The sequence below is a fragment of the Homo sapiens genome, chromosome 7 (assembly GCF_000001405.40).
Source record: "Homo sapiens chromosome 7, GRCh38.p14 Primary Assembly".
Lineage (NCBI taxonomy): Eukaryota > Metazoa > Chordata > Mammalia > Primates > Hominidae > Homo > Homo sapiens.
The window spans coordinates 117,447,801-117,475,772 of NC_000007.14; the positions used below are offsets into that span (position 1 = coordinate 117,447,801).

Below are 27,972 nucleotides of genomic sequence, written 5' to 3' on the forward strand. Positions count from 1 at the left end.
TTATAGATGAGAACACTTTGCCCTAGAAAGTTTAAATAACATATTTTAGTAAATGGTAGAGATGGGATTTAAACTAGGTCTGTTTATCTCTACTGTTCAGTTGCCAATCCTGAACTTCAAAAACTATATGAGGGCAGAGGAAGGTGGTAGAATAGAAGCCTATGCCGTTCAACCCCCTCACTGGAATACCGAATTTTAACAACTATCTTCACACAGAAAAGCACCATCACAAGAACTGAAAATCAGGTGAGCAATCACAGTACCTGATTTTAACTTCATATTGTGGAAAGAGACATTGAGGAAGGCAGTCTTGAATTGCCGATGCCACCCCTCCCTCATCCCCCAGCAGCAGCCAGTGTGGTGCAGGGAGAGAATTTGTGTGCTTTGGGGAGGGAAGAGCACAGCAAATGGGGAACTTTACATTGAACTCAGTGCTGCCCTGTCACAGCAGAGAATAAAGCCATGCTGGGCTCAGCCAGTGCCCGCACAGGGAGGGAGCATTTGGACCAGCCCTAGCCAGAGGCGAATCACCATCCCAGCTTTTGGAATGTTAGTTTCTCGGCAAGCCTTGCCACAGTGGGCTTAAGTGCCCTGGGATCTAGGTATACTAGAAAGGCTGTCTAGGGCACAGGACTGCAATTCCTAGGCAACTCCTAGTGCTAGGCTGGGCTTAGAGCCAGTGAACTATGGTGGCACCTGACCTAGGAAGACACCAGCTGGTGCAGTTAAGGGAGTGCTTGAGCCATCCCTTCCCCAACCCCAGGCCGCACAGCTCACAGCAACAAAAGTGAGTCCTTCCTTCTGCTTAGAGGAGAGGAGAGCAAAGAGTAAAAGGGACTTTGTTTTGCATCTTGGATACCAGCTCCACCACAGTAGGATAGGGCACCAGAGAGAGTTGTGAGGCATCCCATTCCAGGCCCTGACTCCTGGATGATATTTCTTGATATTTCAAGGGAATTGCTGCCTTGAAGGGAAGGACCAGTCCTGGTAGGATTCATCACCTGCTGACTAAAGAGCCCTTGGGCCCTGAATAACCACCAGTGATAACCTTGGAGAATGCCATGGGCCTTGGGCTGTGAGATGTGCTGGCTTCAGGGGTGACTCAACACGTTCTTAACTGTGGTGGGAATGGTGAAAGACTCTTTCTGTTTGAGAAAAGCAGATGGGGAAGGTAAAGGGGACTTTGTTTTGCACCCTAGGCAACAGCTCAATCACAGCGGGGGCAGAGCAATTAAGCAGGGATCCCTGAGTCCAGGCCTAGGCTCTTGGGCAGCATTTATAGACCTGCCCTGGGTCAGAAGAGGAGCTTGCTGACCTGAAGGAGAAGTCCCAGACCTGGCAACATTCACCGCAAGCTGGGTGGAAGAGTCCTTGGGCTTTAAACATCACGGTGGCCTGGCAGAACTCCCTGGGGACCAATGGTGCTAGTGGCCACAGGGAGAGTCTCCTGTGTCTATAGAGAGAGGAGAGAAAGGTGGAAAGAACTTTGTATTATGGTTTGAGTGCCAGCTTAGCCACAGTACAATAGAACATCAGGTAAATTGCCAAGGTTTTTTGACTCCGATCCCTAGGTCCCAGACCGCATCTCTGGACTTGCCCACAGCCTGGGAGAACTCACCACTCTGAAGGGAAAGGCCTTAGGCAAGGATGAACGGCTGTGCTGGCTTCATCTGACCCCACACCGTCCCAGTGGTGGTGGCCACAGGGATGCTTATATCACCACATTCCCAGTTCCAGGTGGCTCAGCACAGAGAGAGAGATTCCATTTGTTTGGGAGAAAGTGAAAAGACTAACAGTCTCTGCCTGGTAATCCAGACACTTCTTCCAGATCTTATCCAAGACCACCAAGGTGGTACCTCTATGAGTCTGCAAAAACCACAGCATTATTGGGCTTTGGGCCCAATTCCCTCAAAATACCTGGAAAGCCTTCACAAGAAGGACAGGCATAAACAAGCCCAGACAATGAGGACTGCAATAAATATACCTAACTCTTCAATACCCAAATGCTGACAAACATCTATAAGCATCAACAACTTCCAGGAAAACATGACCTCACCAAATGAACTAAATAAGACACTAGAGACCAATCCTAGTGCCTTATTTATGCATCTGTAAGCATCAACAACATCCAGGAAACATCTATAAACAACATCCAGGAAACATATATAAACATCTGTAAGCATCAACAACATCCTAGAAAACATGACCTCACCAAATGAACTAAATAAGGCACTAGGGACCAGTCCTAGTGCCTAGAAGCAGACATGTAACCTTTGAGACAATTCAAAAGGGCTGTTTAGAGGAAACTCAAAGAAATTCAAGATAGCACAGAGAAGGAATTCAGAATTGTATCAGATAAATTTAACAAAGAGATCGAAATAATTAAAAAGAATCAAGAAAATTTAGAGTTGAAAAATACAATTGACATGCTGAAGAATGCATCAGAGTCTCTTAATAGCAAAAAGGATCAAGCAGAAGAAAGAATGAGTGAGCCTGAAGACAGGTTATTTGAAAATACACAGTCAGAGGAGACAAAAGAAAAATAAAATATAAAAAAACGAAGCATGCCTATAGGATCTAGAAAATAGCCTCAAAAGGGCAAATCTAAGAGTTAATGGCCTTAAAGATGAGGTAGAGAAAGAGATACAAGTAGAAAGTTTATTCAATTAGATAATATCAGAGATTTTCTGAAACCTAGAGAAACATATCAACATTCAAGTACAATAAAGTTATAGAACACCAAGCAGATTTAAGCCAAAGAAGACTAGCTCAAGGCATTTAATAATCAGACTCCCAAAGGTCAAGGATAAAAAAGGATCCTAAAAGCAGCAAGAGAAAAGAAGTGAATTACGTATAATGGAGCTCCAATATGTTTGGCAGCAGACTTTTCAGTGGAAATCTTATAGGCCAGGAGAGCATGGCAGAACATATTTAAAGTGCTGAAGGAACAAAACTTTTATTCTAAATAGTATATCTAGCAAAAATATCCTTTAAGCATGAAGGAGAAATAAAGAGCTTCCCAGACGAACACAAGCTGAGAGATATCACCAACACCAGACCTGTCCTACGAGAAATGCTAAAGGGGGTTCTTCACTCTGTAAAAAAAAGGATGTTAATGAGCAAGAAGAAATCACCTAAAGGTACAAAACTTACTGGTAATAGCAAGCACACAGAAACACAAAGAATAGTATGACATATAATTGTGGTATGTAAACTTCTCTTGACTTCTATAGAAAGACTAAATGATGAACTAATGGAAACTAATAATGACAACTACTTTTCAAGGCCTAGACAGTAAAATAAGACATAAAGAAACAACTAAAAGTTAAAAGGCAGTGTTTTTTTAATGCAATCAGTGTTAAGTTGTCATCAATTTAAAATAATGGACAATGGGCTATAAGATAGTATTGGCAAGCCTTATGGTAACTTCAAATAGAAAAACATACAACAATACACAAAAAATAAAAAGCAAGAAATTAAAGCATACCACTAGAGAAAATCACCTTCACTGAAAGGAAGACAGGAAGGAAAGAAGGAAGAGAAGACTGTAAAACAACCAGAAAACAAATAATGAAATTGCAAGGGTAAGTCCCTACATATCAATAATAACATTGAATGTAAATAGACTAAATTCTCCAATCAATAGACATAGAGTGGCTGAAAAAAACAAGACCCAGTGATCTGTTGTCTACAAGAAACACACTTCACCTATAAAGATACACATAGACTGAAAATAAAAGAATGGAAAAAGATATTCCATACCAATGGAAACCAAAATAGAGCAGGAGTAGCCATACTTATATCAGACAAAAATAGATTTCAAGACAAAAACTGTAAGAGGAGACAAGATCACTATATGATGATAAAGGGATTAATTCAGCAAGAGGACATAATGATTGTAAATATATATGCACCTAACACGTGCATATATATTTACAATATATATTAATAGCATCGCTGCTGAAATCTACCAAATTACCCAGATATATAAAGCAAATATTATTAGAGCTAAAGAGAGAGATAGATATACCCCAATATAATAATAAATAGAAACCCCAATATAATAATAAATAGAGACTTCAACACCCCACTTTCAGCATTGGACAGATCTCCCACACAGAAAATCAACAAAGAAACATTGGACTTAATTTGCACTGTAGAACAAATGGACCTAATAGATATTTACAGAACATTTCATCCAATGTCTGCAGAATATACATTTTTCTCCTCAGTACATGGATCATTCTTAATAATAGACCATATGTTAGGTCACAAAGCAAGCCTCAAAGCATTGAAAAAAATGGAAGTAATATCAAGCATCTTCTCTGACCAAAATGGAATAAAACTAGAAATCAATAATAAAAGGAATTTTGGACTATATAGACACTTGGAAATTAAACAATATGCTCCTGAATGCCCAGTGGGTCAGTGAAGAAATTAAGAAGGAAGTTGAAAAATTTATTGAAACAAATAATAATGGAAACACAACATACCAAAACCTATGGAATACAGCAAAAGCAGTACTAAGAGGGAAATTTAGAGCTACAAGTGCCTACATCAAAAATGAATAAAAATTCAAATAACCCAATGATGCATCTTAGAGAACTAGGAAAGCTAAAGCAAACCAAACTCAAAATTAGAAGAAGAAAAGAAATAATAAGAAACAGAGCAGAAATAAATGGATTTGAAATAAAACAATACAAAAGATCAATGAAACAAAAGTTGGTTTATTGAAAAGATAAACAAAATTGACAAAACTTTAGCCAGACTAAGAAAAATAGAGGACCCAAATAAATAAAATAGATGAATAAACAAAATAAGAGACATTACAGCTGATACCATAGAAATTCAATGATCATTAGTGGCTACTATGAGCAACTATGTTCCAATAAATTGGAAAATCTGGAAGAAATGAATAAATTCCTAGACACATACAGCCTACCAAGATTGAGCCATGAAGAAATCCAAAACCTGAACAGACCAATAACAAGTAAAGAGTTGGAAGCCGTAACGAGAAGTCTCCCAGTGAGGAAGATCCTGGGACCCAATAGCATCACTGCTGAAATCTACCAAACATTTAAAGAAGAACTAATACCAATCCTACTCAAACTGCTCCAAAAAATGGACAAAGAGAGAATACTTCTAAACTAATTCTGTGAGGCCAGTATTACCCTGATACCAAAACCAGACAGAGACACATCAAAAAAGAAAACTACAGGCTAATATCTCTTGCAAATATTGCTGCAAATATCCTCAATAAACCAGCAACCAAATTCAATGATACATTCAAAGCTCACTCATCATGACCAAGTGGAATTTATCCCAGGGATGCAAAGATGGTTCAACATAGGCAAATCAATCAATGTGATACATCATATCAACAGAACGAAGGACAAAAAGCATATGATCATTTCAATTGATGCTGAAAGAGCATTTGATAAAATTCAGCATCCCTTTATTACAAAAACTCTAAAAATCTTGGTATAGAAAGAATATACCTCAACATAATAAAAGCCACATACAACAGACCGACAGATAGTGTCAAACTGAATGGAGAAAAACTGAAAGGCTTTTCTCTTAGATCTGGAACATGACAAAGATGCCCACTTTCACCACTGTTATTCAAAATAGTACTGGAAGTCTTAGAGCAATCAGGCAAGAGAAAGAAAGTAAGGGCATCCACATAGGAAAGGAAGAAGTCAAATAATCCTTGTTTGTAGAGGATATGATCTTATATTTGGAAAAACCTAAAGACTCCACCAAAAAACTATTAGAACTGATAAATTCAGTAAAATTATAGCATACAAAAATCAATAGCATTTCTATATGTCATCAGTGAACAATCTGAAAAAGAATTCAAAAAAGTAATCCCATTTAAAATAGCCACAAAAAAGTAACTAGGAATTAACCAGAGAAGTTAAAGATCTCTACAATGAAAACTACAAAACACTGATGAAATTGAACAAGGCACCAAAAAATGGAAAGATATTCCATGTTTACGGATTGGAAGAATCCTAAAATTTATGTGGAATCACAAAAGACCCAAAATAGCCAAGGCTATCTTGAGCAAACAACAAAACTGGAGGAATCACATTACCTGACTTCAAATTATACTACAGAGCTATAGTAACCAAAACAGCGTGATACTGGCATAAAAACAGACACATAGACCAATAGAACAGAAAACCCAGAAAAGAGAACTCACAGACAAATCCACACATCTACAGTGAACTCATTGTTGACAAGGTTCCAGGAACGTACACTGAGGAAAAGACTATTCAATAATTGGTACTGGGAAAACTGTATAAGCATATGCAAAAGAATGAAACTAGACCCCTATCTCTTGCCATATACAAGAATCAAATAAAAATGGATTAAATACTTAAATCTAAGACCTCAAACTATGAAACTACTCCAAGAAAACATTGGGGAAAATCTCCAGGAGTTTGGTCTGGTCAAAAATTTCTTGAGCAATACCCCATAAGCATAGGCAACCAAAGCAAAAATAGACAAATGGGATCACATCAAGTTACAAAGCTTCTGCAGAGCAAAGGAAGCAACAAAGTGAAGAGATGAGATAACCCACAGAACGGGAGAAAATATTTACAAACTATTAATCTGACAAAAAATTAATAACCATAATATGTATGGAGCTTAACTCTATAGGAAAAAATCTAATCTGATTTAAAAATGGGCAAAGATTTGAATAGACATTTCTCAAAAGAAGACATACAAATGGCAAACAGGCATATGAAAAAGTGCTCAGCATCACTGATCACCAGTGAAATGCAAATAAAAATTAGACAATGAGATATCATCTCACCCCAGTTAAAATGGCTTTTATCCAAAAGACAGGCAGTAACAAATGCTGGCAAGGATGTGGAGAAAAGGGAACTCTTGTATTCTATCAGTTGGAATGAAAATTAGTAAAACCACTATGGAGAATGGTTTGGAGGTTCCTCAAAAAACTTAAAACTAACATATGATCCAGCAATCCCACTGGTAGGTATATACCCAAAAGAAAGGAAATTAATGTATCAAAGAGATAGCTGCACTCCTATATTTGTTGCATCATTGTTCACAATAGCTAAGATTTGGAAGCAACCTAAGTGTCCATCAACAGATGAATGGATAAAGAAATTGTGTTACTTATTCACAATGGAGCACTATTCAGCCATAAAAAACGAGATTCAGTCATTTGTGACAACATTGTTGGAACTAAAGGTCATTATGTTAAGTGAAATAAGTCAGGCACAGAAATACAAACATCACATTCTCATTTATTTGTGGGATCTAAAAATCAAAACGATTGAACTCAGGGAGACGGAGAATAGAATGGCGGTTACCAGAGGCTGGGAAGCGGGAAGGTGGCAATGGTTTATGGGTGCAAAAAAAAAAAAAAAAATTAGAAAGAATGAATAAGACCTAGCATTTGATAGCACAATAGGGAGACTATAGTCAATAATAATTTAATTGTACATTTTAAAATAACTAAGGGCATAATTGGATTGTTTGTAACACAAAGGATAAATGCTTGAGAGGATTGATACCCTATTTTCCATAATATGATTATTATACATTCCATGCCTGTACCAAAATATCTAATGTACTCTATAAGTATATACACTTACTATGTACCCACAAAAAAATTTTAAAAAGAAATATATACAGCTATAGGAAAACATATAGGGAATGAAATTTTAGAGTAAACAGAATTGAAGGATTTTGCTGTTGCAGGAACTAACAGATACATAATTTTTCTTCTGAATAGATGAAGGTAGAAAGGCAAAATGGTTGGAGTTAAATCTTGAAAGATATGTTTAGGATAAATATAATCTTTTTTGATAAATCCTGGAATATTAGAAATAGAGATCTTCCCTTAAAAATTTTCAAAAGAAAAATTTTAAGTAAAGAGAATTACTGTATTATTTAAGAAGTAGAAGTCATGGAGATTGAAAATATAGTTGTAAATAAGGGTTTATATAGGTTCACGTACTCTATTAAGAAAAAATAAGGATATTATGAGACTTCAACCGTAACTCGTTTTTAATTAATTCATTAATTTGTTTGTTTGTTTGTAAAGCCAGGGTCTTCCCATCTTGCCCAGGCTGGTCTTGAATTCCTGGCCTCAAGCAATCCTTAAGCTGATAGCATGTAAGGCAACTATACTGTCCCACATCACATGCTGTAGTCACATCTTTAAAGCCAGATGAATTAGCTTAAAGGTTATCTGTTAAACTTTCAATCTCCAACAAACTGTTCATTCATCTGTACTTTAACACTTCCAATATTAGGAAGAACACAATTTCATTTCATCATTGGACTATTCAGACATTCTGCTTTTGTTTGCTTGTTTGTTTGTTTTCTTGAGACAGAGTCTCACTCTGTTGCCAGGCTGGAGTGCAGTGGCACCATCTTGGTTCACTGCAACCTCCGACTCCCTGGTTCAAGTGATTCTCCTGCCTCAGCCTCCCTAATAGCTGGGATTACAGGCATGCACCACCATGCCCAGCTAATTTTTTTTTTTTTTTTTTTTTTTTAGTAGAGACAGGGTTTCACCATGTTGGCTAGGATGGTCTCCATCTCCTGACCTCGTGGTCTGCCTGCCTCAGCCTCCCAAAGTACTGGGATTACAGGCGTAAGCCACTGCGGACAGCCAGACATACTGTTTTATGTTGAGAGTATATCTTCATCCTTTTACTTTCCAGCCTAGGGTCTTATTCCTTTCATGAGACTATGCAGAGCAAGTCTAATGTTTTCACCCCATGAGCATTTCAAATATTCGAAGACCTTGTCAAATATTTCCTGCTTTCTTCCTCTTAATCTTAATCATGGCTCAAGATTAGTAGCCACGACTAGAGAGGCCAAGATACTAGAGAATAAAGTTCAGATTTTGCTCTTAAGATGCTTATAGATTTCTAACAGGCTACAAAAGCACTTGACTATAAAGGAAAATATGAATAAATCAGACTTCATTAAAATTAAGAACTTTTCATCAAATGATACTATTAATATAAGTGAAAAGTCAACTTACAGAGAGAAAGAAGATATTTGCAATATACTATGTCTGATGAAGAACTTATATCCAGAATATATGAAGAACTCCTAAAAATCAATAAGAGGTAACATACGAGATAACAGAAAAATGAGCAGATAAATTGAACTGGTACTTCACAAATGAATACATTCAGTTGGCCAATAAACATATGAAAATGTACTCAAAATTATTAATTATCAGAAAATATAATTTTAAACTACAAAATACTTCTACTTACCACAATGACTGACATTAAAACAAAATCCCTGATAATACATAGTATTGTCTTAGAGGTGGAACAACTAGAACTCCCATATGCTCTTGGTAGATTGTAAATTATGAATTGGTACTAACATTTTGGAAAATGATGGAAATATTTACTAAAATTGAACATATGCAAATCCTATGACACAGATTTTTTCCTCCTTGCATATTCCTTAAGATGCAAAAACAAAACAATCCAAATATTCATTGACAGTAGGATGATATATTTATCAAGAGTACACATACAATGGAACACTATGTAGTAAGGAAATAACTACCTTTATATACAATAACATGAATGAATCCCACAAACACAAATTTAGTGACAGAAGCCAGACACTAGATAGTACATACTGCAATTTCACTTACCTGAAATTCAAAAACATGCAAAACAAATTGATAGTGGTAGAAGTCAGAATAGTTTCTTCTGGGAGGAGATAATTATTGAAAGATGATGGGAGGGAGGCTTCTGTTTTGCTGATTTTATACTCTATTTCTTGATCTAGTGGTAGCTACTTGGATGTATTCACTTTGTAAAAGTTTGTTGAGATGTATATCTATGTATCTGTCTCTATATATATGTATATATGACTCATATATACATATATAGCTCATATATATATATGAATTGTATACTTTTCTGTATGTATATTAAATTTCAAAAAAATTAACTTTAGAAGGAAAAATTGGCCCTAGGTGGGTCTAAAAGTTCCAGTTACCTAAAATGTAGGGCTGCCATATTGTGTAATCGGTGAGTCTGTACTTTTATAATAAGCACAATATAAAAATACTGAAACTTATGCTGCACGTAACAAATTAAGTTTTGTATTGGGACAATCTGAAAAATACACAGACAGTCATTTCCTAATCCTTCTCCCCCAGTAAAAGAATTCTAGCTCATTCCTTTTTTAGCATGACAGCTGGGCAGTAAATGAGTCAATCACTGATCCAAATTTGTTTTAGACTGGGGTTTTAGAACATATATGAACTGCTCAACGTAGGTTTGGCACATATCAAGCACCTAAGATATAAATTATTATCAATTTTTTGATATTTGCATCCCACTTTACTCTTGAGTTTGCTGCTAACTGAAATATCAGAGTCTCTTTCACAAATGGTACCACTACAAACCTCATGCTTGTGCAAATTTTGAACCTATGTAGTAATTCCTGTTTTATTTTGGTACAATTTGTTCAATTTCCAGTCTGTTGAAATCTTTATGGATTGGGATTTACTTAATTTTATATTCAACATTGGTGAAAATGTTGGTCAGGGAGGACTAAAGATGAAGCCCTGTAGACCATCCTTATTAACTTCTATCTTGGCTCACAGTGATCCATTAGACCCTTTTGGACATGGTCATTCAGTCAATTATGACTAGTGCTAATGGAACTCACATCTAGTCCATGCTTATTTGGTCAATAAGAATGTAAAGATAGAAATGACATAAAATGGCTGGGCGCAGTGCCTCACGCCTGTAATCCCAGCACTTTGGGAGGCCAAGGTGGGTGGACCACCTGAGGTCAGGAGTTTGAGACCAGCCTGGCCAACGTGGTGAAACCCCATCTCTACTAAGAATACAAAAATTAGCCAGCCATCGTGGTGGGCACCCGTAATCCCAGCTCCTCGGGAGGCTGAGACAGGAGAATCGCTTGAACGCAGGAGGCGGAGGTCGCACTGAGCCGAGATCGCGCCACTGCACTTCAGCCTGGGCAACAAAGAGTGAGACTCAGTTTCAAAAAAGAAAAAAAGAAAGAAATGACATAAAATATCTTTCATAATATTTTTAGATGTCTGTTAGATGTTTGTACTCTTATTTTAGCATGGTCATTTACCTAAACTTTGTTAAAATAGTGAAATATTTCCAAAGCCTCCTAATTTTTTTTACGCCAATCCTAACTCACAGGCAACATTTAATGTATGAATATTGCTTCCAAGAAGAGTGGTGGGATAATATGATGGCAAATTAATCTGGTATAATGAAAAATGTTATAACACTAAATTTTTTTTGTATAAAAGTGTGCTTTTCCGGGATGTTGTTTGAAGCTTCTTTACTTTTCACTTTTCTCTTTTCACCAGCAGAGGGCAGGTAAGGAAGAGAGAAGAAAATACTATAAAAGTATCTCGTCCTCTATTCAACTATTTAAAACACTTCTCTGATACATTTACAAAGTGAGCTATTTTGTTTTCTCTTTAGTTATGCTATTTTGAAAATAATTGATCTAAGTATAAATTTTAATTTCTTACATATATTTGGTTTAATGAATCTCCAATGAAATTTGTACTTTGAATTTTTAATTGTTTATAAACCAATTATAAATTCAGACTTGAAAAGTCTGAATATTCTTTATATTTTGAAGTGATAAAAATGTCCCCTTTTATTTTGGGTAATTCAATTAATTAGACTTTTTCCTTTTATGGTTTTCTAATTCAATTATGGGTAAGTTTATGTGAATGTTTTCCATAGACATCTTAATATAGCCATTTGGTCATTTCCTTCAACATGCAGAGTTGTTAAGCATGGTTTTCAGTTTTATTAATCAAGTAATGTATCTTATAAACATAACTGAAGGAAACTCAAATGGGATGTGATGGAGTTTTTTTTTTTTTTTTTTTTTTTCAATAATATACCTTACAGGAATGTTTAAATATAGTTTTAGTAAGTATATTAGGATATTTTCTCTTGAAACTTTAAATTTAATTAATAATAAAACATCTTTTTCAAAACATTAGATGATGTGATAAACTATGTAATTCAACAGTTCAGAACAGCTTGCATGTAACCTTTGTTAAATCAAAAGTCAGGTGGCAACCTGGATTTTTGCCTGTTCAGCTTGAATAATGGCATTGTTCTGGAAGTACAGTAGTGGAGAGAGATTGAGTAATTCCTGGGAAGATAAATCCCCATATTGCTTATTCCAAGTACTAGAAATTACTTCTTTCCTTTGCTTATTGATTACCTCATCTTTAAGAATCTTTTTTTAACTGTCAAGCAAGGTTATGTATTAGGACTCCCCTTGGTCATACTAAGGAATATTTCCAAATACTGGACAAAAATGAACTTCCTCAGGTCACCTAATGAATACAAGCTTATAGTTATTATAGCTTAGAACATAGGTGTAGGGAAGAAAACAAAGAAAGGATCCCCGGGACTAAGCAAAAAGGAAATTCTTCCAATTAGGCAGAGTGATGAAGCTTCAGGCCTAGGGTTGCTGTGACAGCCTCTTTACTGATTGCCCATACGATGTCTTCCTTTTCCACTAGGCCACCATGTGTATTTATTCTACTTTTTTCTTTCTAAAATGCAACACGTTGATGTTATTTCCTTACTCAAAACCCCATACTAACTCCCTTTTGCCAATGATAGTAGGTGTGGGACTTCTTTTCTGCCATTTCAGACTCTGAACAAGGTCTCAATCTGATTTTCCACATTTACTCCTTCCTCTGCTTTTCACAAACCATGCAAACAGTGCGATTTCAAAAGTATGTCCCTTTCTACTCATATCTTTCTCAGTCATCTCTGCCTGTCAGAGGCCCTTTGTCTTTCTTTTTATTTAGTTTAATTTAATTTATTTATTATTATTATTATTATACTTTAAGTTGTAGGGTACATGTGCACAACGTGCAGGTTTGTTACATATGTATACATGTGCCATGTTGGTGTGCCCATTAACTCGTCATTTACATTAGGTATATCTCCTAATGCTATCCCTCCCCACTCCCCCAACCCCACGACAGGCCATGGTGTGTGATGTTCCCCATCCTGTGTCCAAGTGTTCTCATTGTTCAATTCCCACCTATGAATGAGAACATGCGGTGTTTGGTTTTCTGTCCTTGCGACAGTTTGCTCAGAATGATGGTTTCCAGCTTCATCCATGTCCCTACAAAGGACATGAACTCATCCTTTTTTATGGCTGCATAGTATTCCATGGTGTATATGTGCAGTGGCCCCTTGTCTTTCAAGATCCATTGTCAATGACATTTTCTCCTGAAGACATATCTTATTCTTAACTGGATGATCTTTGGTGCCCTTAAGTCTCATGGCTATTTGCATCTCTAGAGTGGCCCTCATCATATTCTATTATCTATTATTCGTATTTGTATATTTGTTTCTCTTTATATGCCAACTATAAGCTCCTTGATAGTAGGGACTGTGTCTTGGTGTCCCCAGAGATTAGCATGATGTCCTGCAACTGGCAGAGTCATTCAGAGACACCAGGGCTCTTTGTATTTTTTCAGGCCCTCAGTATATTAAAAACTGAAAAATGCCAGGGTTACAAAATTGTGGCATATTTTAAATGTTACGTCAAAAAATGGATGTGATGAAAACACATACATGCCCACAATAATCCCCAATGTAATTGTGTGCTGCTTAAGATAATTATAGGATTTCTAAAATATTTAACTCATGCTATTTTTAAGTTGGCATAGTCTGATAACTGTACGCAAGTATAGTGTTGTGTGTTTTGCGTGTTTTCTTCTTTCTGTCTTGTCAGTTTACCTCTAGGACTGTTAATCTGAGGCCTTGGCCAACGGACCCTCTGGACTCTCTATGAGGGGCCCTCACATGTAGATCTCTGATAAATGTTCACTGAAATGAGTTCAGTTTAATTACACACCAAAACGATGCTATATATAAATATTATACAATGAATTTCTATTTTTATGTAATCATATTATTCAGAAATAAGGTTGAAAGTTATTAAAGTCTAATTTAATATCTAAATTTAACTTTCAGTTGTTTTACACTTTGAAGGTCAGAGAACTAGATATTGGGGAAGAGTTCTGGGATACATGTGCAGAAGCTGCAAGTTTGTTACACAGGTATACATGTGCTGTGGTGGTTTGCTGCAACCATCAACCCGTCATCTACATTAGGTATTAGGTATTTCTACTAATGCTATCCCTCTCCTTGCTCCCCACCCCCCGACAGGCCCTGGTGTGTGATGTTCCCCTCCCTGTGCCCATAAGTTCTCATTGTTCAACTCCCACTATGAGTGAGAACATGCAGTGTTTGGTTTTCTGTTCCTGTGTTAGTTTGCCGAGAATGATGGTTTCCAGCTTTATCCATTCCCTGCAAAGGACATGAGCTCATTCTTTTTTTTATGGCTGCATAGTATTCCATGGTGTATATGTGTCACATTTTCTTTATCCAGTCTATCATTGATGGGCACTTGGGTTGGTTCCAAGTCTTTGTTATCGTGAATAGTGCTGCAATAAATGTACGTCTGCATGTGTTTTTATAGTAGAATGATTTATAATCCTTTGGATATATATCCAGTAATGGGATTGCTGGGTCAAATGGTATTTCTAGTTCTAGATCCTTGAGGAATTGCCACACTGTCTTTCATAGTGGTTGAACTAATTTACACTCCCACCAACAGTGTAAAAGTGTTCCTATTTCTCCACATACTCTCTAGCATTTGTTGTTTCCTGACAACAGAGTAGAATCGCCATTCTAACTGGCATGAGATGGTATCTCATTGTGGTTTTGATTTGCATTTCTCTAATGACCAATGATGATGAGGTTTTTTTCCATGTTTGTTCTCTGCATAATAATGAGTATCCAAATAGGAAGAGAGGAAGTCAGATTGTCTCTGTTTGCAGATGACATGATTGTATATTTAGAAAACCCCATTGTCTCAGCCACAAAACTCCTTAAGCTGATAAGCAACTTCAGCAAAGTCTCAGAATACAAAATCAATGTGCAAAAATCACAAGCATTCCTATACACCAATAATAGACAAACAGCCAAATCATGAGTGAATTCCCATTCACGATTGCTCCAAAGAGAATAAAATACCTAGGGATACAACTTAACAAGGGATGTGAAGGACCTCTTCAAGGAGAACTACAAACCACTGCTCAAGGAAATAAGAGAGGACACAAACAAATGGAAAAATATTATGCTCATGGATAGGAAGAATCAATATCTTGAAAATGGCCATACTGCCCAAAGTAATTTGTAGATTCAATGATATTCCCATCAAGCTACCATTGACTTTCTTTACAGAATTAGGAAAAACTAGTTTAAATTTCATATGGAACCAAAAGAGAGCCCATCTAGCCAAGACAATCCTTAGCAAAAAGAACAAAGCTGGAGGCATCATGCTATCTGACTTCAAACTATACTACAAGGCTACAGTAACCAAAACAGCATGGTACTGGTACCAAAATGGATATATAGACCCATGGAACAGGACAGAGGCCTCAGAAATAACACCACATATCCACAACCATCTGATCTTTGACAAACCTGACAAAAGCAATGGGGAAAGGATTCCCTCTTTAATAAATGGTGTTGGGAAAACTGGCTAGCCATATGCAGAAAACTGAAACTGGACCCCTTCCTTACACCTTATAAAAAAATTAAGTCAAGATGGATTAAATACTTAAATGTAAGACCTAAAACCATAAAAGCCCTAGAAGATAACCTAGGCAATACCATTCAAGACATAGGCATGGGCAAAGACTTCATGACTAAAACACCAAAAGCAATGGCAACAAAAGTCAAAATTGACAAATGGGATCAAATTAAGAACTTCTTTACAGCAAAAGAAACTATCATCAGAGTGAACAGGCAACCTACAGAATGGGAGAAAATTTTTGCAATCTATCCATCTGACAAAGGGCTAATATCCAGAATCTACAAGGAACTTAAACAAATTTACAAGAATAAAACAAACAGCCCCATCAAAAAGTGGGTGAAGGATATGAACAGACACTTTTCAAAAAAAAGTACTCATTTTTACTACCTGATTAACTAGTTATGTATTTCCCTGCACTATGAGGCACATGAAAAGTCAAATTGTATTCTCCATGACTCTCCTGAGTTAGTAACAAAGATGAATGCTTCATAAGAATTAGTATAATTTATTTTTCAAAACTAGCCTACAGGTGGAAAATGAAGAATTCTGTCACTTCAATGTATTTAGAAATCATTACCATAAGAGTGCAAACTGATATGAATACTCAATCATTCTTTGTTATTGGACAATATAGCTTAATTTTGCATAGTTAGAGGTATGGGATACCTGAGGAGCATAAATACATGAATTATGTATCTTTGTAATTCTCTTTCTAGTATAGAGCATATAAATTAGCACACCTGGGAGTAAGAACTCATCATAAGAATTACCATTGTTTATTTTTTTGACATGTATGTATTTAGATTTTTTTATGATATAATCTCATTCCCTTAGACTAGTTAGTAGAATGATATGTTTCAAGCCCTACTTTGCTAAATTAACATGAACCCAACCTTTCCTATAAAATTATTTTATAGTGAAAAGGAGAACAAGAAATGAGTTGTTATAATTCAGCAGTAAGAAAGGAAATTTGGTTGTTTAAACATTAGGCATCAAGTTTTTCTCCTACCTCCATGCAACTGAGAGATTTGATGCTTTTTCAAGGAGCAGGGTTGATTCAAGGAGCAAGGATAGAGATGGATTGGACATAAGGGGTGATGAAGTTTGAATTAATTAACTTATACTAAATGCATGTGCTTCTGAAATGTCCTCTGCAAGAATCACTTGTAAGAGATACATAATTTAATACAGAAAAACTTGAAAGATGAAGTTATTTGTGAAATTTATTATTTTAAATGTTAATTTATTTACACTTATTTAAAATGTATCACATGTTAAAAACATTTAAAAATCCATAATAGCACTAAAGGTTTTTCTATGACTGGAAGTAAGTTGTAATTTGAATAACCCGTCCTCACACCTCTTTCGTATTCTCATTTTTATCCACAAATTTTTATATTCACCAAAAGTAAAAAGCATTTTGTTAACCTACAATTTGTTTTTAACTAAAGCGCACGAAAGCATTTTAAATAAATCACAATAGAACTTAACCTTGGGAAAACTGAATATCAATATGCAGATGTGATAAAAATAGGATTTTATGGAAAAAGGTGAGGACAGTTTCATAAAACCTAAGGAAAAATTTCAAGAAGACAGTTTGTACGTACAAAAATATGCCTGAGGCTGGGCACGGTGGCCCATTCTTGTACTCCCAGCACTTTGGGAGGCCGAGGCGGGAGGATAGCTTGAGCCCAGGAGTTTGAGACCAGCCTGAGCAACATTGAGAGACCTCATCTCTGCAAAAAATAAACAAAATTAGCTGGGTGTGGTGGCACGTGCCTGTAGTCCCAGCTACCCAGGAGACTTAGGTGGGAGGATTGCTTGAGCCAGGGAAGTCAAGGTTGCAGTGGCCTGAGATCACACCACTACACTCCAGCCTGCACGATAGAGTGAGACCCTGTATCAAAAAACAAACAAAAAATATGCCTGAAAGGATAGTTTTAATACTGCCCAGTACTTTTCAGTTGAGTAGGCATGTATATGTCCAACAGGCATCTGAAAATACACACTTATTTGTGGACAAAATCCTGTTAATTTTGTAATTGTGAAACATGCAATATAGTCCCAACCATGTCAAAGTCTCCAATGAAAATTTAAAATTTATCTTATTTGGAAGGACTATAAATTTTAATATTTCTGTGCAATATTATAAAACAAAACCCACTACGTGGCTTGATTTATATATATAACCACATGGAATTTCATACTGAAGCCCAGCAAAACTTCCATTATCCTCCACATCCATAATTTATCCTTCACTCTTTCTGCCAACCACAGGTGTTGGACAATGATTTGAGGTCTTAGCCTGAACTTTTGAATGAGAGGTGCCCCATCAACTGGACTTCTCCTGAGTGTTGAAAAGGTAAGAGGGTTTTGCTTCTTTATTCACTCCTTTCTTACTATTTGCATTGTAATATAACTCTCTTGGGACTCAAGGGAACAAACCATACAGTGTCTTTTGCTAAATGCCAAAAATCAAGAAGCCAGTTGAAGTTTTCAGTTCAAATTATTTCACAAGTGTTACACAGTAGAAAACCTTTATGGTGGCTCACGCCTGTAATCCCAACACTTTGGGAGGCCGAGGTGGGTGGATCATGAGGTCAGGAGTTTAAGACCAGCCTGGCCAAGATGGTGAAACCCCGTCTCTACAAAAAATACAAAAATTAGCCAGGCGTGGTGGCGGGCACCTGTAATCTCAACTACTGGGGAGGCTGAAGTAGGGAATTGCTTGAACCTAGGAGGCAGAGATTGCAGCGACCTGAGATCGCGCCACTGCACTCTAGCCTGGGCGACAGACCGAGACTCCATCTCCAAAAAAAAAAAAAAAGAAAAGAAAAGAAAAGAAAAAGAAAAAAAAAAGAAAAACAACAACAAAAAAAAACCAAAACAAAAAACCTTTTTTTTTTTTTGTCTCAGTTTGAGGTCTCTTGTTACAAATTTAAAGAAAATTAATTTTACAATTTCCTATTCTCAATGATTTTGATTTACTGATATTTTACCCTACAACAATATAGTGAAAAAGTGTGGTCATGGGATTGGTTAGACCTAATTCAGGACTACCAATACTAGATGTGAGGCTATAGGCAGGTGTGTTAAAGATTCTTTGGAATCTTATTTTACTCAAGAGTAAAAAGTATGTGTAGTAATAATTATTTCATAAGTATATTGAGAGCATTAAATGGGGAATAACAACCATATAAAAGGCTTAGCATATTAGAGACTTAATACAAATCAATTTCTTGCATTTTGCTTATCCTGGATATATCGTGGGTTTGCTTCATATTGGAAAACAAGACAGCAACAAAGATCCATGTTTCATTCTTCAGTGACTTAAAATATTAGTTGTTCTGGCCAGGTGTAGTGGCTCACACCTGTAATCCCAGCACTTCAGGATGCTGAGGTAGGATGATTGCTGGAGCCCAGGAGTTTGGGACCAGACTGGGCAACAAAGTGAGGCCCTGTATCTACAAAAAATAAAAATCGTAGCCAGGCATGGTGGTGTGCACCTGTGATCCCAGATACACGAGAGGCTGAAGCAGGAAGATTGCTTGACCTTAGAAGGTTGAAGCTATAGTGAGCCTTGTTTATGCCACTGCATTCCATGTATTAGTTGTTCTACAAATAAAAATATTTTACTTTCAAAACATGTTTTACTAAAAGTTTTTCAGTAAGGATGTAAAAACTATTAATGGTCAACTTTGACTACTTCCAAAATGCTTTTTTTGAGTGAAATGTTACACCTCTTTGTTAGTTCATTGCAATAATACTTAAATATTTAAAATTGAAAGTCAGTAATGGTAAATATAGAAGAATTAGAGGATAAAATGAGTGGAGATATGGAAAGGTACAGATTGAATATAATTATTTAAGTAAAATCCTTTCCTAGAGAAAATAGAAAATAGAACTTTGAGGTTGAATCTCTTTTAATGTAATGTTTTTCTCGAATCCAAGTGTTTTTACACTATACAATAGGAGTAGAAATTTGTCACCACTCTGTGGCCAAACTCACTTTTTCTTTCTTTTTTTATTTTTACATTAAAAAAAAATTTTACTTTAAGTTCCAGGATACATGTGCAGGATGTGCAGGTTTGTTACATAGGTAAATGTTTTATTTTAAATTTAATTTAACACTTTTTATTTTTAAGTCATACAACTCTCATAGCCAGTAGTTAATATTACCTTGCAAGTTTGGTATGGTTGATGAATTGCATCCTGTTAATAATTGCTACAGATTTTTGAATAATTGCAGACCAGTTTGATGGTCCTGGGTTGGCATAAGTACATGAAGATTTACTTTTTCCTGTGAGCTTTCTTGGGATGAAGAAATTTAGTGTTTTTTTTTAATTTTTAAGAAATATTTATTATTTTTTACATGATTTATTTCCCACTGAAAAATAAATCCCACCGGGCATAAAGTGTATTTTTTTAAGTCACAGAGTAACCCAACTTGAAGCTAGTTTTTCAGACTTAGGCAGTTCATGCTGTAAGCCCGAGATCTCATGGTCACCCTTGCAAGAGAAATATCTAATTGAAAAAAAATATGAAGAGTATTAATTTTGATAGTGCTAAAATGACATAAAGGGATCTCACTGGGCTTGAGATATTAAGTATTAAAATTGTTAAAGGTTTAAATTGTTAGTAACTTGTTATTGCATAGAAAATGTGCCAAATGTCAGTAAATAAAAAAACTTTTTTTAAAATAAAAATTTACAGAAAAATTATGACGATACTACAAAGAGGTTCTGTACAACCCCCTCCCAGTTTCTCTTACTATTAACATCTTAAATTAGTATGTTACATTTGTCACAATTAGTGAACCAATATTGATACATTAGTACTAACTAAAGTCAGTGTTCCTTTTACTGGAGAATGGTGTTAGAAACTAAGGTCTGGGCACTGTGGTATGGTGGTTGCTATTGAGATGTTGTTATTTTTAGGTTCTTTCTCAGCTGACAGAGCAAAGAAATATATGTGTGTATATTAACCTATGTGTACACATACATCTATGATTATTTCGATATGTAACATCTGTATCTTTATTAAGCTAAATATGAGTTCATATGGTGTCTTCAATTCTAATCAATTACTGTATAGATTATTCTAGCCTCTTCCTCTTGCTTATCTGTAACTTCCTATTTCAAACCGTGAAAAATCTGTCTTCCACCACCTACTATCTGCTTACCTAATTTCTCATTTCCAGTTTATGTATACAGTGGCTTCAGAATTATTACATATAGCCCTGTGGGATACAACTTTGTCAACTAGAGTGGTGCTTATGTAAGTTCTTCTATCTTTAGTTTTACTGACTCTACTCATTTTCAAAGTTGCTTAGTCCAGAACATTTCACTCATACTCCTCCTAGTGAAGTTGTTTCATATGTTAGTAACACAGATTCTTTTTTTGCAGTCTGCATTCCATTTTAGGGTTCCCTCCTCTCCAATCTCCTAAATTATTATTTTTTAAATTCATATACATCAAGGTTTATTCTTTGTGCTGTAAAGTTCTATAGGTTTTGACAAATACAAAGTGTCATGTACCCATCATTACAATGTCATACAGAATCGTTTCACTGCCCTAAAAATATCCCTTGTCCTTTGCCTATTCAACCCTTCCCCTCCTTTCCCAAACTCCTGGCAACCACTGATCTGTTTATCGTGGAGCTGTGTCTCTTCCAGAATGCATATAATTGAAATCATACAATATGTAGACTTTTCACCCTGGCTTATTTTGTTAGCAATATGCATTTAACATTCATCCATGTCCTTATGTGGCTTGTAGTTCATTACTTTTTACTGCTGGGTAGTATTCTATCATAGAAATGTACCACAGTTTGTTTATCCATTCGCTGATTGAAGTATATCAATATACCTTGGAACATGACTGCTAGATAGTATAGTAAGACTATATTTAGCTTTGCAAGAAACTGCCAAACTGTATTTTAAAGTGGCTGTACCATTGTGCCACCAGCAACTCCTGCCAGTGATCCAGTATTGTCAGTTTTTTGGATTTTAGCCATTCTAAAAGGTGAGTGATGGTATCTCATTGTCGTTTTAATTTGTAATACTCTAATGACAAATGATGGTGGATTTCTTTTCATATGTTTGTTTCCCATTTGTATATCTTCTTTAGTATGTGTCTGTTCGGATGTTTTGCTTACTTTTTTTAAACTGGGTTGATTGTTTTCTTTTTCTTTTTCTTTTTTTCTTTTGAGACGGAGTCTCGCTCTTTAGCCAGGCTGGAGTGCAGTGGCGCCATCTCGGCTCACTGCAAGCTCTGCCTTCCGGGTTCAAGTGATTTTCGTACCTCAGCCTCCCGAGTAGCTGGGACTACAGGCGCCCGCCACCACACCTGGCTAATTTTTTTGTATTTTTGGTGGAGACGAGGTTTCACCATGTCGGTCAGGCTGGTCTTAAACTCCTGACCATAGATGATCTGCCTGTCTTGGCCTCCCAAAGCTAGGATTACAGGCTAGGATTGCAAGTAGGATAGGCGTGAGCCACTATGCCCGGCTGATTGTTTTCTTATTGTTGAGTTTTATATTCCTTTATTTTGGAATGGAGTAAATAAGCACAATAAAACTGGTTGAGAAGATAATCATTTTAAAAAATCATAATGAATTATATGATACACATTCTATTATTTCATGAGAAAAATCATGGAAGAGTCAGTTCAATATTCAGTGAATCATTAATGTGAGGATGTAAAATTTGATACACACACAATTTATTGAGCACTTATCCTATGTCAATCAGTGCGCTAAATTTTTTTCTTTTATATTAACTCATTTAATTCCCACTACAGCCCTGTGTAATGGAAGCTGTTCTTCCCACCATTTTATAAATGATGAAACCTTAGATCACACTCAGTGGAAGAGTTCTAAAGCCCTATGTGGTGCTGTCTGATAGAAAATATATTTTAAAATGAGATGATCTAAGGTATGTTTACCTACAGAGCTAAAGGAAAGTATGTCTTAAATTTAATAATGAGTGATTATAGAAACAGATTACAGGAAATAGTCCATCTTTCTTGAATTATCCAAAGTGTTACAAGCCTCAAATTCATTGTTGTTTGTATGAGAACACATTTAGGTGATCGGATACAAGTATATAGTTTTTCCCAGATGTTTATTTCACATCAACTTTTTTTTCATCTTTACTTTCTTCAAGGCAAGTAGGATAGAATGTAATAATCAAATAGGTTTTTCCCCCACCCCATTTTAGAGCAGTAAATAATTCCAAGAGGCATTTGCTTTGTTATTGGATAAGTAATTAACAAAAAGAATTCCTAAAGACAATTAGAATCATGACCATACTGGGTCTTGAAAACATAGCAGTGCAATCACAGCCAATGGCTGGCTTGGTGGCTGGCGATGAGCCTGCAGCATGGGACTGGGTGTTCCACCACGGCTTGGCTGTTGTCCAGGGAGCTTTCAGTCGCTGGGGTTCCCACAGTGCCAAGCACGAGGCAGGTGCAGAAAGGATAAAGGTTTCTGTTCCCCATTAGTGTTGAGGGCATGCAGGTCGTCTGACATGAGGGGCATGAGAAGTGAAGTTCCTGCTTTGCTTTGGGTAAGGAATCTGCATTGACAGGGGCTTAAGAACCTGCTCTTATACCTCACATGTCTTAGCCTGGCCTTTGAGATGAGTAGGGAGTTTGAGTGGGAGTTTGAGTTTCCTCTTAGAGAAACAGAACTGAGTGAGGCACTTTCATTTTTTAGTTTCCTAGTACCTTTTGTTAAGGAAAAAAAAGCCAAAATGAGTGTTAAAAATTTAAAATTTTTAGATTTTAAATTTGCATTTAAAAAATTAATGCTTTTTTTTTTAGATGGAGTTTTGCTCCTGTTGCCCAGGCTGGAGTGCAATGGCGTGATCTTGGCTCACTGCAACCTCTGCCTCCCAGGTTCAAGCGATTCTCCTGCCTCAGCCTCCTGAGTAGCTGGGATTACAGGCGCCCGCCACCACACCCAGCTAATTTTTGTATTTTTAGTAGAGACGAGGTTTCACCATGTTGGCCAGGCTGGTTTCGAACTCCTGACCTCAGGTGATCCACCTGCCTCGGCCTCCCAAAGTGCTGGGATTACAGGCGTGAGCCACTGCGCCCAGCCAAAATTAATGCTCTTAACATGTAAAAAGTAAAGTGCAGTGGAACTTTGGCACTTATGCAAGATAATACAACTTAAAAGATTTATAAGAATATTAACTGCTAATGAACAGTAGAGGGATCTAATTAACATTGAAAGTTACATGAAGAAAGTGTTTGTCTTCTATTCCCAACAGGGCATCTTTGTAACTATAATGACTCTTGAGAAGATTTTGTTTTCAGTCTTAAAACAGGAATGGGGGAAAAATGTAGGCCTGGGTAAGTACAAAAAAGGGAAATCGAAGGAGACTAGGGAGTTACTGTAGATTTTGCAGGACTGAGGAAAGTCAGAATAAATACAAGAGACAATGATGCTGGTAATTTTCTTTGGGCTCAGAGAAGTAATGCTTTGCTTTGTCAGAGTTGTAGTAAAATTTAGATCTAAGAAGCTCGTTGGAAGTTGTAGCAGAATCCTGTCTTGTTTACTATGTCCACTGCCTGGCACAGAGATGGAACACTATAAGCTTTCCAAAAACATTTGTGGAATGGAATCAGAAAGTCACTTTACTTTCCAAGATGCAATTCTTTATTTTGAAACATAAATATTTAAAAAGTTTATAAATTTTTGACATAATTATGACATACATCCTTCCAGGCTTTTTTCAATGCTTATGCAAACATGTATATGTGACCTGTAGGTCTCCTTTTACCCAGTTTTTGGAGTACAAATAAGGTCACATCTCTTCTTAACTTTAAATGTTTAAAACATTGAAGTTAGCAAGAAGCCCAGAAACTTTTTCTAAAGAACTTTTTCTACCCCTAATTGTCCAAGAACTCCAAGTTTTCTTGGTTCAAAGAGGTAATTTCTGTTTCTAAACACTAGAAAAAGGAGAATATGAAGGATCTGACTAGTCCATTGTCACATGCCCCACCCCATTTTCTGCTGCAAGAGCCTCTGTCACCACAGCATTGTGTCACTGATGAAAATAGGTCCTCCCACAGAGTCAGATGCATCCCAGTCTATTGCTACTATTATCACCCTGTTGGAACAGATCCCTGCACAGGTCACAGCAGTTCCTGGAAGATGAAACTCATTCTCCCAGCCTTAATATCAGCCAGGAATACTTTATTCTTGGACTTCCAAAGTTGCTATAGTAGTTTCCAAAGCCCACCTAGCACCTAAGGATGGGTGAGTAAAGACAAGCTTCCAGTTTCAGCTGCAGAAACAAGAACCCATCTCCCACCACATAGTAGGTGTTGGCATTAAACTTCTCTCTTATGATGTAATGTGTTCTCCTTGGGATCTTTGGTATTTCTGTTTGCATACTTCATTTGGGGTCATCTCAACACACCAAACAGATTCTAACTACACTGAATCTCAAAAGAAATAGAAGTAGTCTTTGTCAAGCCACAGAAAAGAGCTTGTTCTTCTTTCTTCTCCTCCTAGACACCTGCATACTTTTCATTCCTCTAATGAAGAGGGTCCATTCAATAAATTCAGAAGAAATGAAGAAAAAAATACAAGTCTAGTTTGTGATAAGTCCTTGTTTTCACCTAAACAGAGAAGCAAGAACATAAATTATATAAGGCACCTTCTCTTAATTAAATAAACAAAAGAGTTCTATGTGGTCTAGTTACACAGAGATCACAGTGATTAACTACTCAGCTCTGGAGCCAGACAACTGGGTTTGTTCAGATTCTGGCACTCTTTCTTGAATTTGGGCATGGCATTTGACCTTCTGTACCTCAGTTTCTTCATTTGTAAATTGGGATGTTAATAATAAAATGTACTAACTTTATAGGGTCTTTCCTGAGGCACATAATGTAATTTAAACAACAAACAAGTATACATAACAGACATTTTTTTCTTACAAAGACGGTACCATACTAAACTTAATTTGCTTTTTTTGAAAAATTATATTTTTAGGTAAAACTTTGTAAGTTAATTTTTTTGGGTGAAAAACATGATACAAATTTATCAATTTGATTTTGCTTCATTAGCATGATATACTTTGTTCTAGAAAGTACTTAGGCAATTTTCATACATGTCTTTAAATATAATTTTTGCACATGTAAATAAGAGTTCCAAAGTATTTTGCCATCACTTCATCAGTGTTGCCTCTCAACAGCCTTTGAAGCGAGGAGATGCCAGTCACTGTCTCAGACACAAGGATGCAGGCTGTGGAGGCCAGTGAGCCATAGTCACTGAACTGGGAATTGGCTGTCCTTTTGACCATACAGATTAATCACTGTAGTTTCACCAATCACATTGAACTTGAAGATCAATAAATGACCCTAAAACAATGAGATTTCATAGACTCTTTCTATATAGTGGAAGTTAAAGCAAATCAGAAAGGAGTCCCTAAACCTGTGAATTCTTGAATTTTAGTTTTCCAGGTCAACAAGCCTTCTTTAAGTGACTTCATGTCCCGTCCTTGGTTTTTGATCATAGACTGGTATAAGAAATGACCATAAAATAAATGTTTTTGAGAAAATTATAGCTGAAAATACTGTCCATGATACCACTCAGTGATATAAGTCTCTAAACAGCAAACTCTTCCATGAATGGGGTGGAGGGAAGATGGTTTTTCTTTCCAGGTGAACTTACATATTGCCTTTTCTCAGATATCAGATTATGAGAATAATACAATGGACTGGGCTTTGACAGCCAAGACTTTCAGAATTGCTGTTAGTGCCCATGTGCAATAAAATTTTTCTATCATGTCTCTCTTATTATTTCAAATGCCCTGTTTTACTGTTTTGATTACTAATTATCTATTTAGAGGGAAACAGTTATAAATAAATAATTCACTGTTCTACTTACTGTGCACCCCTGCCTTTCTAAATATAACTCTTCTATGTAGCATGTAAATTACCACAGAACTCATCTCAGAAAAAAGATCACTACTTTTCTTTTTAGAATTCAAATTTATAATATCTAATTCTATAGGTGGCATCTGGCCTTTAGCATGATATCACCAATGAAAATTTAATCTGTGTTATGAATTCCCTTGTTTCTAGAAAAGCTTCAGCAGGAAAATGAGAAGAGAACCCATAAAAACCATAAAACATTTCATGAATGGTAGCTTTAGAAAATCTTACAGGATTTGGTAGCTTTTACATTTATGACAAAGTGATATTTTTGATGTTGTTCATAATTATTTCAGTTCATTAGCAGCATTAATAAGCTCCCGTTTTGTACAGCTTGAAGATCTTTAAGACTTCCTTAATGAGAAACTACCTTTAAGCTACGGAAGACCCATCAGGGTGCCAAATTCCATCTGGACACAGTTACAAATACACCACTGTTGATGAGCTGAAAATTAGAGCAACCAAACAACAGAGCTTTAAAATGTTATTTCAATGCAAAGGGACATTTTCACCATAGAAAAATAGAAGTTTGCCTCTAAATAAAAATGATTTTACAATTGCAAGAGTACTTGATTTACCCCTTTACATTTAGTTCAAATACCAAAAATTTCTTAAGGAATGAGAAATTCCAATGTTCCTGAGAATTCTGATAGCTTTTAGAGAGTTCAGTTTTCTGTAGCATTCCATTTTGCAATCCTATACAAATTTCTAATTTATAACCAGTGGTATGTAATGATAATTTCTAATATTTATTAAGTGTTTATTGGGTTCTAAGTGCTTTACGTCTGATATATGTATCACATTTAATTTATTTCATCCAGTGGTTCTTAACTGGGGACAACTTTGTACCTCTCTCCCCAACATATTTGGCAATCTCTGGAGATAGTCCTGGATCTCCAGATCTATCTGTCACAACCTAGGATGTATGTGGTCCTACGAGCATCCAGTGAATAGAAGCTAGAGATACTGCTGAACATTCCACAGTACAAGGGCAACCCCCACATCAAAGAATTATCCACACCCAAATGTCAGTAGTACTGAGGTAGAGAGACCCTAACTTAATCTGTTCAACAATCCTATGAGGTGATTTTTTTTTTTTTTTTGAGATAAGGTCTTACTCTGTCACCTAAACTGGAGTGCAGTGGCATGATCACAGCTCACTGCAGCCTCGATCTCCCAGGCTCAAGCCATCCACCTGCCTCAGCCTCCCAAGTAGCTGAGATCAGAAGCATGCACCACCACACCTGGCTATTTTTTTTATTTTTTTGTAGAGACAAGGTCTTACTGTGTTGCCCAGGCTGATCTCAAACTCCTGAGCTCAAGCAATCCTCCTGCCTCAGCTTCTCAAAGTTC

The 27,972-nt window shown here is 36.3% G+C and overlaps 1 long non-coding RNA gene across 1 annotated transcript, besides 9 other annotated features; it reads left to right on the forward strand.

Moving 5' to 3' along the window:
* Positions 1–104: 104 nt before the first annotated feature.
* LOC105375468 (uncharacterized) lies at positions 105–27,929 on the forward strand. The gene is made up of 3 exons (XR_927901.2): positions 105–246; positions 17,947–18,031; positions 27,891–27,929. It is a non-coding gene; the product is annotated as an uncharacterized LOC105375468 (long non-coding RNA).
* Positions 11,000–11,599: a DNaseI hypersensitive site, noted in NCBI's record as "DHS-20.9kb, or -20.9 kb or -20.5 kb DHS observed in multiple cell types; the nucleotide coordinates are approximate for this feature". NCBI's record gives the evidence for it as "EXISTENCE:in vivo cleavage assay evidence [ECO:0001075][PMID:7540005, PMID:10448643, PMID:10561583]".
* Positions 11,194–11,440: an enhancer blocking element, noted in NCBI's record as "CD fragment used in the reporter construct". NCBI's record gives its function as "blocks activation of a human gamma-globin promoter by the mouse HS2 beta-globin enhancer when located between the enhancer and promoter in transfected K562 cells" and the evidence as "EXISTENCE:reporter gene assay evidence [ECO:0000049][PMID:17696881]".
* Positions 11,347–11,418: a protein binding site, noted in NCBI's record as "CD oligo that binds CTCF". NCBI's record gives the evidence for it as "EXISTENCE:protein binding evidence [ECO:0000024][PMID:17696881]".
* Positions 11,348–11,375: a nucleotide motif, noted in NCBI's record as "nucleotide_motif; PMR-CDalpha purine/pyrimidine mirror repeat element". NCBI's record gives the evidence for it as "COORDINATES:motif similarity evidence [ECO:0000028][PMID:10561583]".
* Positions 11,377–11,390: a transcriptional cis regulatory region, noted in NCBI's record as "CTCF core motif mutated in the CD-CTCFmut construct". NCBI's record gives its function as "required for enhancer-blocking activity of the -20.9 kb CD fragment" and the evidence as "EXISTENCE:site-directed mutagenesis evidence [ECO:0005528][PMID:17696881]".
* Positions 11,382–11,410: a nucleotide motif, noted in NCBI's record as "nucleotide_motif; PMR-CDbeta purine/pyrimidine mirror repeat element". NCBI's record gives the evidence for it as "COORDINATES:motif similarity evidence [ECO:0000028][PMID:10561583]".
* Positions 11,391–11,576: an enhancer blocking element, noted in NCBI's record as "EF fragment used in the reporter construct". NCBI's record gives its function as "blocks activation of a human gamma-globin promoter by the mouse HS2 beta-globin enhancer when located between the enhancer and promoter in transfected K562 cells" and the evidence as "EXISTENCE:reporter gene assay evidence [ECO:0000049][PMID:17696881]".
* Positions 11,425–11,494: a protein binding site, noted in NCBI's record as "EF oligo that binds Oct1". NCBI's record gives the evidence for it as "EXISTENCE:protein binding evidence [ECO:0000024][PMID:17696881]".
* Positions 26,166–26,805: a silencer, noted in NCBI's record as "nonconserved region 9 (NR9) negative regulatory element (NRE) in the greater CFTR locus". NCBI's record gives its function as "modestly represses an SV40 promoter coupled to the HS2 beta-globin enhancer in the forward orientation in transfected K562 cells {active_cell/tissue: K562}" and the evidence as "EXISTENCE:reporter gene assay evidence [ECO:0000049][PMID:18436892]".